This window comes from Homo sapiens, chromosome 8 (genome assembly GCF_000001405.40).
Source record: "Homo sapiens chromosome 8, GRCh38.p14 Primary Assembly".
Lineage (NCBI taxonomy): Eukaryota > Metazoa > Chordata > Mammalia > Primates > Hominidae > Homo > Homo sapiens.
This window is the reverse complement of record NC_000008.11, coordinates 106,520,615-106,534,944: the sequence shown is the minus strand read 5'-3', so window position 1 is coordinate 106,534,944 and position 14,330 is coordinate 106,520,615. Positions and strand designations below refer to the sequence as shown.

At 37.1% G+C, this 14,330-nt stretch overlaps 1 protein-coding gene and 1 long non-coding RNA gene across 7 annotated transcripts in view; one reads left to right on the top strand and one right to left on the bottom strand.

Annotated features, from left to right (window-relative positions):
- Positions 1–14,330, bottom strand: part of OXR1 (oxidation resistance 1) — a 482,517-nt gene that overhangs the window by 217,750 nt on the left and 250,437 nt on the right. The window lies entirely within an intron of this gene.
- OXR1-AS1 (OXR1 antisense RNA 1) overlaps positions 1–14,330 on the top strand; it is a 140,687-nt gene that overhangs the window by 122,776 nt on the left and 3,581 nt on the right. For both annotated transcript variants that reach the window (XR_007061059.1, XR_007061055.1), the window contains one exon: positions 12,112–12,224. This is a non-coding gene — a long non-coding RNA (OXR1 antisense RNA 1). The remainder of the gene's footprint in view (positions 1–12,111; positions 12,225–14,330) is intronic.

The following is a 14,330-nucleotide window of genomic DNA, read 5'->3' as shown; positions in this document are numbered from 1 at the left end:
AGCTTTCAGGATAAATGAATATAGGTATTAAAAACTTATCAATAATGTATTTTCCCAAGCTAAAACCACTTACTATTGATTAGCTATTACTTCCCCCTATTAACCTCTTTCCATTTTCTTTCTGCTTCTTTAATGAAATTGCAAGTATTTGTTAAGTACTTACTAGTCAGATTCAGTACTAAGAGATTTACATGCACTATCTTATTTAATAATCACACAAATCCTATGAAGAAAGTGCTTTTATTCCCATTTAACAGTTGAAAAACTGACCAACAAACTTGACCAACACAGCCAATGACTGATAGAGCTAAAATAGCCAGTGAATTGCTAATTCTAATGTTTTTGTGTCTGTACATCTGAACCTGTGTTATTTTCACTGCTCTACACTACACTATACTGTCACAGCTAACTGCTAATGTGTCTCAAATGCTCTAATTTTAGTAAAACAATTTTATCCATTACTACTTTGTGGTCATTTCTTTTATAGTATAAAAACTACAGGGATGTCTCTGTAATAATATCCATATTCTTTTTCTTACTCTAAAGGTTTCTTACAGGTGTTAAGGACTGGGAACTGGGTAGTTTGTTCTGGGAAAGGAACACACGTGTTAAGATAAATAGATTCTTGATTCAGGATGATAACTTGGGATCAAATAGTGAAAAGTATTTTATGTGTGCTGTTCGATGATGAAAGCCTTCAGGCTCTTTAAATTAGTCTTGCTACCCAGGATTGGCAGCATCAGCATCAGCATCATCTTGAATCTCGTTACAAATGCAGAAAAAATTGTAGGCCCCGCCCCAGATCTGTTGAGTCAGCATCTGTATTTTTGTAAGATCCCCCGTGCACATTAAAATTTGGAATGCAATTCTTTGGAATAGATTTCAGGCTTTAAAGCTTTCCTCTCTGAGTCCCTCTGATAAAAGGTAAACCTGGCTGCGCGTGGTGGTTCACGCCTGTAATCCTATCACTTTGGGAGGCTGAGGCAGGTGGATCACCTGACGTTGGGAGTTCAAGACCAGACTGATCAATATGGAAAAGCCCTGTCTCTACTAAAAAAATTCAAAATTAGTCAGGCGTGGTGGCACATGTAATTTTAGCTACTCAGGAGGCTGAGGCAGGAGAATTGCTTGAACCCAGAGGGCAGAGGTTTGTGGTGAGCCAAGATTGTGCCATTGTACTCCAGCCTGGGCAACAAGAGAGAAAATCCATCTCCAAAAAAAAAAAAAAAAAAGTAAACTCAACTGCTGCCCTGTTCAGGTAGCATATCATAAAACTGCCTTCAAGTCCTGAGCCATTTATTCTCTGCTGCCTTGCCTTTAAGACTTCTATAAGTCCCAAAATAATATAGGAGAAAGGTCTCAGGCCGTGTGATGTGGTATGACTCTGCAATACATAGGGTGTTTAAACAGAATGAATCCTAAGTGTGATTTACACTAAGTGCAAAAACTAATAGATACCAAACCAATGTGCTGCTTCCTCTCTCTCTTTGAATAAAGAGTCTTCTCCTGCTACCATTCCCAACATAGCTTTCATAAACACCTTTATTCTCTAATTCCAGGATGTCAAGGTCCCATCCTAATCGTCTTCTTTTGTACTTTTCATCATATGAATGACATAGTTTCATTTGTTTTCCTAATTACTAGCAGAGGCTAAGAATTAACAAATTTATTGGATTATAGAGCAGGAAGAAACAACAAAGATTGCCTTCTATGTCTCTGATCATTGGTTCTCAACGTCCTTTCCTATTTGGCTCTTCCTATCCCTTTAGGGCTCTGGTCCAGAAATAGTCAGGGGCAGCCAAGAGCTCAACTCTAGCATTGTAACTAGGAAAAGGACACCATAAACTGTCACAGCTGAGAAAAACCCCAGATGTGACAACTAAATATAATGTAGTACCCTGGATAGGATCCTGGAAAAGAAAAACGATGTCAGGTAAAAAGTAAGGAAATATGAATGAAGAATGGATTTAATTAATAGCAATGTATCAACACTGTGCCTAACAGGCTGTCCTCCATATGCTCAATGCATGATGTTTCTGATATTTATGATAAGGTTATTTTAAATTCAATGTATATTAATTCAAAAGGCATATAGCTTCAACACTCATTTATTGTTATGCATTTTATCCTTTTTCTGGCCCATAGAGATATTTATTTTGTTCATGAAAGAGGATATATCTTTTTAAATGAAAAGGTTAGCTTCTATGGCTTCAAGTATTTAAAGCCTGAAATCACAGCATTGACTGGAAAATCTTCCTCTTACTTATTTCTAGCTGGTCATGAATTCATCTAGATTTATATACTGCATCTGTCTGGAATCTTTTGCTTGTCCTGCTGCCTCTTAGTTTTGGTTCTTGTTACTCCTCTTTATTTTTCTTCTGATAATTTGCTTTTTAATTAACATTTATTGTGTGCTTACTGTGTGCCAGGATCATTTAAGCAATTTATATACATTATCTTATATTACAAATCTGAGTAATACCAGGTAATATCCTTAATTTCATGAAAATCAGAAGTCCAGAGAGATTAAGTGACTTGTCCAAGGTTACAGAGCTGCCCAGAATAGCAGAGGTAGGATCCAAATCCAATTGTATGTAATTCCAGAGCCAAGGCTCTTAAATAACATAATATGCTATCTTTTTAGCTCTTACACTATATGGCTAAAAGATTCTTCTCTTTGTAGGCACATAAATTCCCAACCATTCTCCATGTGATGCTAGAAATATCTCTCTATAAAGCAATCTCATCAAGACACTGCCTTAGGCAAAGCCCTTCACAAGTTCCTAAGACGCCAAGAGTAAGCCCAAATTCCATGGTGTAGCACACAAGACTCCCTCTCCTCTCTCTCAAGCCTTGTTTCCAACTATTGGTAGTTGATAATGTAGGCATTCAATCATATTTTTAAATGAATGAGTAAGCATTCTTAAAATTGTCCACTGAATTGAGGTTTACCCAGGCTTATATAGGGGTGGAGGTGAAAAAGAAAGAAGAAAGCATGGAGAGACAGAGTTATTATTTATATTCCCCTTTTCCTTAAGTGCATCTTTTTGGCTATCCCCATTCCATCCCACTCACTATACGTTTATTTACACGAGTGTTTTTCATATCACAAAAGATCTGCAACTTGAGAGAATTATTTAAAGCAGGAAGTAAAAACTTTGTACCCCAAACAGCACACCACGTACCTTTTTTCTTTACTTAGAGTAAATATTATTGTGCTGATTTTGCCACATCTTGCCTCCCTTGAAATAGTACTTGAAAAAGACTTCAAAACGGAATCTATCTAACTGGAAAAGAAATTCTATTGAATTGGCCTGTAAGACACTCAATAAATCAGAGTCACAAGGTTCAACTCTCTGTGGGCACCTATGATATTTTATCTACAATATGTTATCAAAGATAATTTTTGCCCCCTCTAGCTCAGAAAACTAAGAGAGGATATCAATGCCCTTTCTATCAACATGTATGAAAATTTAAGCAACACAATAACCTCCAAGAATCTTTGAGTACAAATCCTAGCAAATAGAGAACATTGAAATGCAGCAGGGAGGCAAATACTGTTAAAAGTCTTACTGATTTGTATACTGGGTTGAGCTGCCTCTATATGCCTAATCCATAGTGTTTCTCATACTAAGAGGGTTTATAAATATAATAATTCATTCATTAAGAGTTTATGTTACATTAGTTAAAAGAGTTCATTTAAATCCAACGCATATTAGTTTTTTCTACAAAGCATATTAGTCTTTTTCTGTAAGACAGAAGGTTCAGATTTATGAAAGAGGCTTATCAAATTAATGATCAAACAGAATGCTAAGATTTGTTGGTCATAATTAAGGACACATTATGGGCTTTCTCCCTCAAAAGATACCAATCTAAATTAACTAAACTTTTTCATGTAATATTTTGGAGGAATTTCACTTTATTATTTTCAAACATATATGGTAACATAAAATAAACTAACAAATAACCTTACTTTAAAACCAACTTATTAATTTCTCTTAGTACATATTTTTCCCTACCAAAAAGCAGTTTTCTAAGCTAAATTGCTGAACCTAATATCTTCTGTGTCCTGAAATCATGTTTCAGTTATAAACCCACATAGATTTTTTTTTCATATTGTACTAACACAAAGACTTTTTATCTCAGTTTGTTCAGATGATCACAAAATTTCAGTTAGTGAATTTTAAAGCTGTTTACTAATAGCTTGCTTCTATGTAGATGTACACATAATATATAGGGAATGTATCATGAATGGTCACTGTAACATTTATAATCTTCAGTTGAATTCACAGTTTTTAACTATAGTAAAAGTAGTTTCAAAACTTTGGTAGAAACAGCAATAGAAGATTCTCCCCCCAGTTGTGTCTGGTTTTTACCTATTTTTCCATTCTCATAAGTAATATTCTTTCAGTCATAACTGTTAACATGGTCAAAATTTCATTGACCAGCATAAATCCTGTAGTATTTTTACATGTAAAGAAATATCTTGACTCGGTACGGTTATGCACACCTGTAATCCCAGCTACCCTGGAGGCAGAAGGCTGACTTGCGCCCAGGAATTCAAGGCTGTAGTGAGCTATGATCGTACCACTGCTCTCCAACCTGGATGACACTGAGACTTCATCTCATAAAAGAAGAAAAAACAAATAAGAAAATATATATCCTTAGGTACAACGTGGGAAGAAAAGCAAATTAAAAAAAATCAGGAGATACCAATAGTTTCATTTCTGAATGTGAGCAAGATCCTAGAAGCTCTTTAAATTCATACTCCTAAAAAAATGAAAACATTGGGAAATGTAGACATATTACTTCACTGTTCAAATCGCCATTAGTTCTATCTATAAATGTTTAAAATAGAGTAGGTCTTGCTTAATAATTTGTCATTTTCTTCCCCTCACCATTATTCAGTGAAATGGGATGTTCATAGACGTGTTAGCAGGTTAAAAGGGCAAGTTTTGTTTGCTAACAGCAGTGAAAGACTAATTTTAATAGTGATTTAGGAAATTTCAAACAGGATCATGCTTATTTCTCAACCATGAACAATGTCCATTTTAATTATTCCATAAATTAAACCAGTATAGGTTTAATTGGGCAGTTTAGAAATCATTAAATAAATTGACAGATATAATTTGTTTTTGAATAAGTTATAAGACTATTAGGCTGTAGCTCAGACATAATACCAAAACCATTTGCTCAAGGAGACCTCAGGGTTACTGACATTTCTTAATCTGTTTATCATGGCCATGATTAAGCTGTGTTTCTTGATTCTGGGTTGATTACTTCTGACAGAGAACAATCACAGAATCAGGGCAAAAAAGAATAAAGCAAATCTATAAAATAAGGTACTAATGCTATAAAACTAGAGTTGGCAAGCTTATTTAACAAATTATAGGCACTACAAATTTATAGGAATATCAAGCAAACATATTTTTTCTCATTCTGAGAATACCTCCGGTTCCTTGGTAAATTTTAGTTAAAATTACATAAATGATTGGTTAAAAAAAATCTAATTTATCTTGAAAGAAATAAAGCTTTCATATTAATTTTAGAGTTGAAAGTAGTTTCAGCTTGTGGGATTTCCTTAATCTCATGTTTTAAAGTAGATATTAAATGAAATAAATGAAAAATGTTGTAAAATAAAATCCCAATCAAATATCGCCCCCAACAAACATGCACATGGAGATGTAGACTGTCAGAAACATATATTGAATCCCATGGTCTTATTAATCCACAAATGAACCAAAAAACTAAACTTGAAATCTTGATATCCTCAAATTCCACTATCTTGATAAAAAAAAATTCCATATTGGCTACTTACACAAACTTTGAACCACTCTTCAAAAGCTGTGAAATGCCCAGGTCCACTTAGGGACTTTTAGCTTCCATGTGTAACAAGAAACCTCAGCAAATGAAATAATTTTCCCTAAAAATTTTTGTGATCCAGAAAATGTAAAAAGCCATCAAACTGTCAAAACAAATTTCAATTCAAACAAAGTCATAGTTCTCAAGAATTTAATTTAATTGGAATCCTCAGAGCAGCTATGTGTTTTAGTTTCTGTGCTTATAGACAGTGACCTGCATGCCAAGATAGTTCTGTTGATTAAATCACAGAGACTTCCTGCTTTTCCATGAAGAATCTTCTAACTTGGAGAGAACGTTCCAGGTCAGTGGTGACCTAGTTTCACACTGCAGAATGTGCCACCTCTAGCAAGATTAGTTTTTTCCTTTTATTTTTTAACCTCCTGTTATAGTATTGTTACTTTAGGGTTATCTTTTTTATTAAATGAGAGGCGTACAAGTTATGTGATGATATTTTAAAGTGTCTGGTGTACTGCAATTAAAAAGCAGTTAAATATGTGTCTTGCTTTTCTCTTCAGAGCTTCCAAACTAGTTATTACTGTTTTAATTTTGCCTACTACTGAGAAGAATTCCCAGGGAACCCCTAATTCCATAGGCTCTCTTTTCAATATGTAAGCAGCCTGGGGTTAGTAAGATACAAATTTGTATTTAACTGTGCATCGTTAAGTTTGGAATGTTGAAGGTATTCTATCCTGCAAGCAGGGCAAAAGACAGGATCATTGCATTGGATTTTAGAATTTGCAATTTCACAGACCATCACAATTTTAAGAGAATATTTTAGGGACCATTTCCCAACTTAATATTTTGACAAGTAAAATAATTTTAAAAGAACAGACTTAAACAAATATCCTAAACTGATACCATAACTAAGCAGTCATTTCACAAAAGACCATTCATTTTAACACAAGGAGGGAAGGAAAGAAGGAAAAAGAGAGGAAACAGGGTGGAAGAAAGAGCAGAAGGGAGAAAGAAAGGAAAGAGGGAGGGGACAAAAGAGGAAAAAAGAAAGAAAAAATGGAAAGGACAGTCACTTCAACTAAGTATCGTCTTATGAAAAACTACTGTTCTTTTATTATTGCATCGTTTTCACCATCAATGGTATAGACTAGCACTTGGGGAACCACTCAATGAGATCTCCATCAATGATCTAATTTCATTTTTGTTTTTGAAAAGAGAATTTGATCTGAAAATCAATGTAGAGGATGAGCTCTTTACCACTGGCCATTTTACTTAGATTGTTCCCTTGGCTTTGAAACTATTTACAGTAGGACCATGAATAAGTCATTTAACTTCCAGAGACTTAATTCCACTCACTCTATAAAAATGTTATAAGCATTTATTAAATTTAGTAAATTCAATATGTTAGTCACCTAAAAGACTGACAATCTGTATATTAAAATGCTTGAAATGTATTCATATTAATCAGATTTAGAGAAGTTGTGGCCAGGTGTAAAGGACGTTTGGATTGAATCCTGGCAAATGAATAGTTAATCAGAAGGCTAAAAGAGGCGGAGGTATCACTATTCTAGGCAGGAGGAAAAGCCCAAGATACATCATACAGAATTACAACTTCGAGAAACCACAAAGAGTTTTTAGCTTGGCTGGAGTGTAGGGCTGAGGTCTGCAATGAAGCTGATGAAAGGTAAGCGCAGTATGAAAGATCTATAGAGTAACAACCTTATTTTGTGGAAGTGGGGAACCACTGCCGGGTTTTAAACAGGGGATGACTTGATCAGATCCACAAAGGTCAAGACAAGAGGCTTGTTTCATATAAGCTCCATGAGAGCAGGTACCATGGTGCTTCATTCATACTCTATCCTTAATTCACAACAACAACAAGCTCACTAATATTTACTGAGAACTTGCAAGTCCTAGGCACTAATATAAGTACTTTAAATACATTACCTCACTTACACCTCACCACAGCCCTTTCAGTAAGCAACAGTTTTATTTCCTTTTATAAAGAGGCATACTGGGATTTGAGATTCTAACTACTTTGTTTATGGTCTCATAACTAGCAGGAGGAATATAAAGGTCCAACTTGGACTTTAGATTCTCAAGGCCAAGTTCCTCACCATTGATTCACCTGCCTTCCTGAGCAAAAGAAGGAGCTCAATAAACACCCACTGAATGACTACACAGCTTTCATGGCCTTGATCAAAAAAATTAGGATCTTTGAGAGCTAATTTTCTCCTTCCCTCTGGCAAGCTGACACCTAAACCACTCTGAAGAGACAATAGCTATACATGGCGCGGTGGCTCACGCCTATAATCCCAGGACTTTGGGAGGCAGAGGGGGGCGCATCACGAAGTCAGGAGATAGAGACCATCCTGGCTAACACAGTGAAAACCTGTCTCTACTAAAAATACAAAAAAATTAGCCGGGCGTGGTGGCGGACGCCTGTAGTCCCAGCTACTCGGGAGGCTGAGGCAGGAGAATGGCGTGAACCCGGGAGGCGGAGCTTGCAGCGAGCCGAGATTGCGCCACTGCACTCCAGCCTGGGCGACAGAGCGAGACTCCGTCTCAAAAAACAAACAAAAAACCAACTTCCCTGTATATACTAATACTTGTTACATTTTCCCTGATATTTAATTTCAATACTCTAAATTATAGCTTAATCCACACTCCTTATTCATTGTTGGTAGAAATGGACATCTGGATACCTCCTCTTGAAAACAATGTGGGGAAGCATGAGGGTCATTAAATTTCCCCTCAATCATTTTCTCCTTCATGCTGCAAATATCAATTCCATTAGTCTTTTCATAAGCTAATCTGATTCCAAGGAAGGTGAAAAACAACTCTGAAAAATCTATTATTAATGCGTCTAATGTCCTGTAATCGAATCCAGCCAATTGAGTTCCCAGTTAGAGCTGAGACAATTCATCATCTAGAATGTCCATAAAAATTGTATAAGATTTAAACATATTTTACGTGAATAACATATCACCTCTCTCACTTAATCTATTTTATTCTTCTTTAAAAACTTATCATTACTTGACAGTGTGTTAAATACCTGATTGTATATTTATTGCCTGCCTTCCCAACTAGAATATAAGCACCTGAGGGCTGGCCTTAGTTTAATCTTTTATTCACAGGACTTTGAACACAGCCTGGAACATAGTAGGCATTCAATACATATTTATTTAATTCATTTATCTGAAACTAAATGACTATAAATGGCTGTGTAAAGAACATTGGATGATTAATCGTAGACTGTGTCTTACAAGAAGGTGTTACAGTGAGATTAGTTTAGATAGGATAAAAGGGAGAGGTTGATCCTGAAGACAAACAAGATTAAAAGGGACAAATAGACTGTCAATTCCCTTGACAAGGTGAGAAACTGAGAGGGAGAGATTTCAACTGAAGGAAAGTTCCAGAGGTATTATTCAAACACCTGTTAGCCGAGGAGCCCCCCTTTTGGACCTATTCAGGAGCCCTGCCGAGGAAAGGCTAAACTGAAAGCTTTTCTGGCTTTTCTACGAAGTTGCAGAGAGCATTTAGGTGGCATAAGTAATAAAAGAGGACTTTTAAAAAATAAACATAAAGGTTGTAATTATCTTACTTATTGTTTGCTACACCAGGTATTCCAATCCTTCTCTAATGGACTACAGACAGAAGAATCTTTTAGCTGTATACTTATGGTGAGGGGTAAACAGATAGCACGTTGTGGTGTTTAAGAGCCTTTGCTCTGCAATTACATTAAACTGGGTCTGGATCCTATCTAGGCTATTTGGGGAAGCTGTGACCTTAGACAAATCTCCTAACCTCTCTGGACTTCTGATTTTCATGAAAGTGAGGCCATTACCCTGTGTCACTGAGCTTTGGATAGTGAGATAATGTGAATAAATTGCTTAAAGATCCTGGCACACAGTAAATGTTAAGCTCGTCCTCCAACTGAATTCTGAGCAGACTCCCTCCTCTCCTCTTCCACTTCAAAGGACAAGATTCATAACCCTTTCTAACTATCCTCTCTGCCCTCCATAGTTATTTGGCACTTAACTGTGTGCCTCACACTGCACTAAGTGCTGGGATTAATAAGATTGCAGGCACCATTCCCTCCTCCTAAGAACTGAGAACCAGTATGGAGACAGACATGCCAACACAAGAAAACAGGAGGCACAGAGAAGTGCAGATGCCAGGGGAGCTCATAAGCAAAAACAGAGGAGGATGGTGAGGGTGTCTTGCTCTATGGAGCCCATAAAGGCCCTCTGAGCATCTATACAATCTGAGATTTCTCCATTTTGTGGATTCCAGGGTACTCTGAATATCCCTTGGCTCCTGCTGCCCCCTCCCTCATTCATTACACACCACCCTCTCTCCCATCTCTATGGCATTTAGGACATTCTCTGTTGTCTATTTTGCTTACCGGTGTGCTCATTTCAACCAGGCACGCTCTTTCCCAACGCATACGATGGCTGCCTTGAAAGCAGGGCTCTCTCTGTTTCATTTTTCATTCTATTCTGAGCAGCATCTTCTATGAGGCCTTCACACAGCAGGGATTGATCAGGGACTAATCACTGTTTGGTGTGTCACTGAGTGATTCTGATCGTGTGGATATTCATTCAAGAGTGGTCCTATTTCCTAACTGTCCAGCAAAAGTCCTCCATATAGAAAAACATCAGGAGCTTTTACTAATAGTTGCAGAAGCTGGACCGTGATATATGAATTCCAGCTCCAGTTCCCTGAAGTGAGGAATCAATATCACATAGAACTGTACAGGTATACCTTAGGGAGCAATCGTACATGCTTGGTTCCTGTGTGCACAGTTTTCTTTACTACCTCCATGCTTAATTTACAATATTTTTCAGAAGTCCTTATATGTAGTTCTTTGAATGAAGGGTAGTGAAATAAGCTGATTATCACAAATATCTGAGTCTACTATTTGGCTTCATTATCTATCTTTAAGTAGGGGCTGTGGTTTTGAAGGATATGTTTCTTATGCTCACTGTCAAATTCAAATGGTTTTATGTAACACAAACAATAATTGGAGTGGTAAAAAATTCCACTCCAGGCCAGGGATGGTGGTTCATGCCTGTAATCCCAGCACTTTGGGAGGTCGAGGCAGATGGATCACGAGGTCAGGAGATCGAGATCATCCTGGCTAACCTGGTGAAACCCCGTCTCTACTAAAAAAATACAAAAACTTAGCCAGGCATGGTGGTGGGCGCCTGTAGTCCCAGCTACTCGGGAGGCTGAGGCAGGAGAATGGCATGAACCCAGGAGGTAGAGCTTGCAGTGAGCCGAGATCGTGCCACTGCACTCCAGCCTGGGCAACAGAGCGAGACTCCGTCTCAAAAAAAAAAAAAAATTTCCACTCCATTTTCTTCTATTTACCTATTAGTGCTACTCCACTAAGTTAATGTTTTTTATTCTAGCTCTAATTAACCATTCTATTTTTCAAAGAATAATAGAAGTTTAAGTATCTGAAGGATTTCAAATATCAAGTCCAGTGATTTTTCAAACTTCAGGTCATAGCCCATTAATGGACTATGAAATAAACTTAGTGAGTTGAGACTGTATTTTAAAAAAATGAAATAGAATATTGTATTCTATTTCATATTCTATAGAATATTCCATTCTATAAGTAGTCAAAATAGTAATGGAAGTGCTTTTAAGAAATTTCATCTGAGATATATTGGTATTTGCATGTGTATATATCAGGTGGTGCTGTAAAATGTGATAGGCAGAATTCTAAAATGGTCACCAAGATCTCCCACCCCTCTGGTGTACATACCTGCATAACTCCAGGGTCTGGAATTTATGATGGACTTTATTCCTGTGATTAGGTTGTGTGGACCTTAAGACAGAAAAATTACCTGGGTGATCCTGACTCAATAACATGAATTCTTTAAGAGCAGAGAGTATTCTTGGTTGGTTGAGGCAGAGGATCCAAATGAAATAGATTTGATGTGAAGTTCTTTACTTGAAGGTGGAGGGGACCACATGACAAGAAAAGCAAGTGGCCCCTAGGAGCTGAGAGTGGTCCCTGGTTGACAGCAAGCAAGGAACGGGTAGCTCAGCCCTACAATTGCAAGGGACTGAATTCTGCCAACAATAAGAATGAGCTTAGAAGCAATTTTTCCCCTGGTTGAAACTCCAGATGAAAACACAGCCCAGCTAGCCCCCTGTCTTTAGCCTTGAGACACCCTGAGCAGAGAATCCAGTCATACCGTGTGGACTGAACTACAGAGCAGTGAGTTCATAAATCGGTGTTATTTTAAACTGCTAACGTTGTGGTATTTTGTTTCACAGCAATAGAAAACTTATACAGTACTTTCTATGGTCAGTTGTGATCATAAAAAGAGAGTAAGAAGAAAAACAACTCTGAAAGACAAGATTTGGTTTCTCTCTTTCATTGTACACATGTAAGTATTAAGGTAAAATGATGGTAAATAACTTGTGCCAGATTACACAGTTAGTGATGGAAGCAGGGCAGAAAATGCTCTTTCCTGAACCACAGCCTGACATGGTGATTACTTTCCTTTTATCTGAAGATTCATTTATTTCACATCAATAGTGACTAGCTTTCCCCTACTTATTCTAAATCAATGGAATTTTATTATACAGCCATCCCTCCATATCTGTAGGCTCTGCATCTATGGACTCAACTAACCACTGATTGAAAATATTCCAGAGTAAAAACAATAAACAGTAACAATGCAACAATATAAAACAATACTGACTAAAAATACAGTATAACAACTATTTCTATAACTTTTACATTGTATTAGATATTATAAGTAACCTAGAGATGATTTCCAGTATACAGGAGCATGTGCATAGGTTATATGCATATATTATGCCATTTTATATCAGGAACTTGGGCTTTGCAGATTTTTGGTATCTGTGAGGGTTCTGGAACCAATCCCCTCTACTCCCTGAATACTAAAGAATAACTGTACTTCTAGGAAAATAATTCTAGAAAAGCCACTGCAGCCACTAAAAGACACTTCAATGGCTGTAACATTTTTCTAGTTATTATTTTTTATTTGAAAATCCTTTAAGCCCTAAAATTATTGCTTGAATGTATATAGTAACTATAGTATGAAACTTCATTGCTAAATTTAAATGCACTTACTTGGCCACAAGAGGGCTCCTAGAGTTTTCCAGGAGTATAAACTCTAAACTGAGATATTGAAAAATATCTTTCAATGAATGAGCATATTGGCTTGTAGACGGGTTCGTTCGTTGGCAAGGCTTCCTTCACTGAGATTCTCTGGGACTTGTGGTAAAAATATCACTCCACTATATTATCCATAAAATCTCTTCCAGCTGGCCGGGAGTAGTGGCTCATGCCTGTAACCCCAGCACTTTGGGAGGCTGAGGTGGGCAGATCTTGAGGTCAGGAGATCGAGACCATCCTGGCTAACGCAGTGAAACCCCGTTTCTACCAAAAATACAAAAAATTAGCAGGGCATAGTGGCATGTGCCTGTAGTCCCAGCTACTCGGGAGGCTGAGGCAGGAGAATCGCTTGAACCCTGGAGGTGGAGGTTGCAGTGAGCCGAGATCGCACCACTGAACTCCAGCCTGGGCAACAGAGCAAGACTCCGTCTCAAACAACAACACTCCTCCAGCTTATTATAGCGCAGGGATGGCAACCTTTGAGAGTCAGAGAAAGCCTGATTCTGACGGGTCACAAGAGAACATAGATTTAATTTGCAGAGCCTGCTCTCTACAGCTCATGACCCCATCTTTAAATGATCTATGGCTCTATCCTCATCTATAAAAATAGGGTGTAACACTTACCTGTCCAAGCTGTTGTGAGGGTGAATTGAGGATAAAACCCAGGAGCTTAAATTGCCCCTGGCATATGAAATTATCAATAAATGAAAATTTTTATTGTTTATTACTAATACTTTTACTAAGAGACATAGAAGTACATTTGTTTTGTAAAGGGAACTTTCAATACCGGTGATTATACGGTTGCTAATATGTTAGCCTTGAAAATAATGTTTCCAGGTCCAAATTACTAAAAGGGTTATATAGATAGAGTATATTTAACAGTTCAGATGTCTCTTTTAACACAATAGACATGCCACTCCCATTGATTATGAATCAAATTGTTACCAATTCAATAGTGAAGAATTCATGAGTGGTGGTATTATTTAAAATAACTCATCGTTCATCTTTTTGCAATCCACCCCTTTTGAGACTTCTATTTTCTAGGCTTAGCCCATTAGTCATGGTGGCCAAGTTGGTCAGTATCTCTCCCTTTTTTTCTAATTTTTAAGGAACATTGAGTTTGTAGGATAAGCTTTATTTGCTGAAGGAAAAAATACTAATTGTGTCTTTTTCGCTAATTAGAAAAGCAATAGAAGGCGACAGACATGTTGCAGAGGAGAGAAGGATAGTGGTAATTGGAGAGAGTTATGTAGACTTTGTGAGATTTTCTAGTCAATTGATTTGAGGAACTGTGCTAGCATAGGTTTTAAAAATGGAAATATGTGCCTGTCTACACTTTTATTAATTC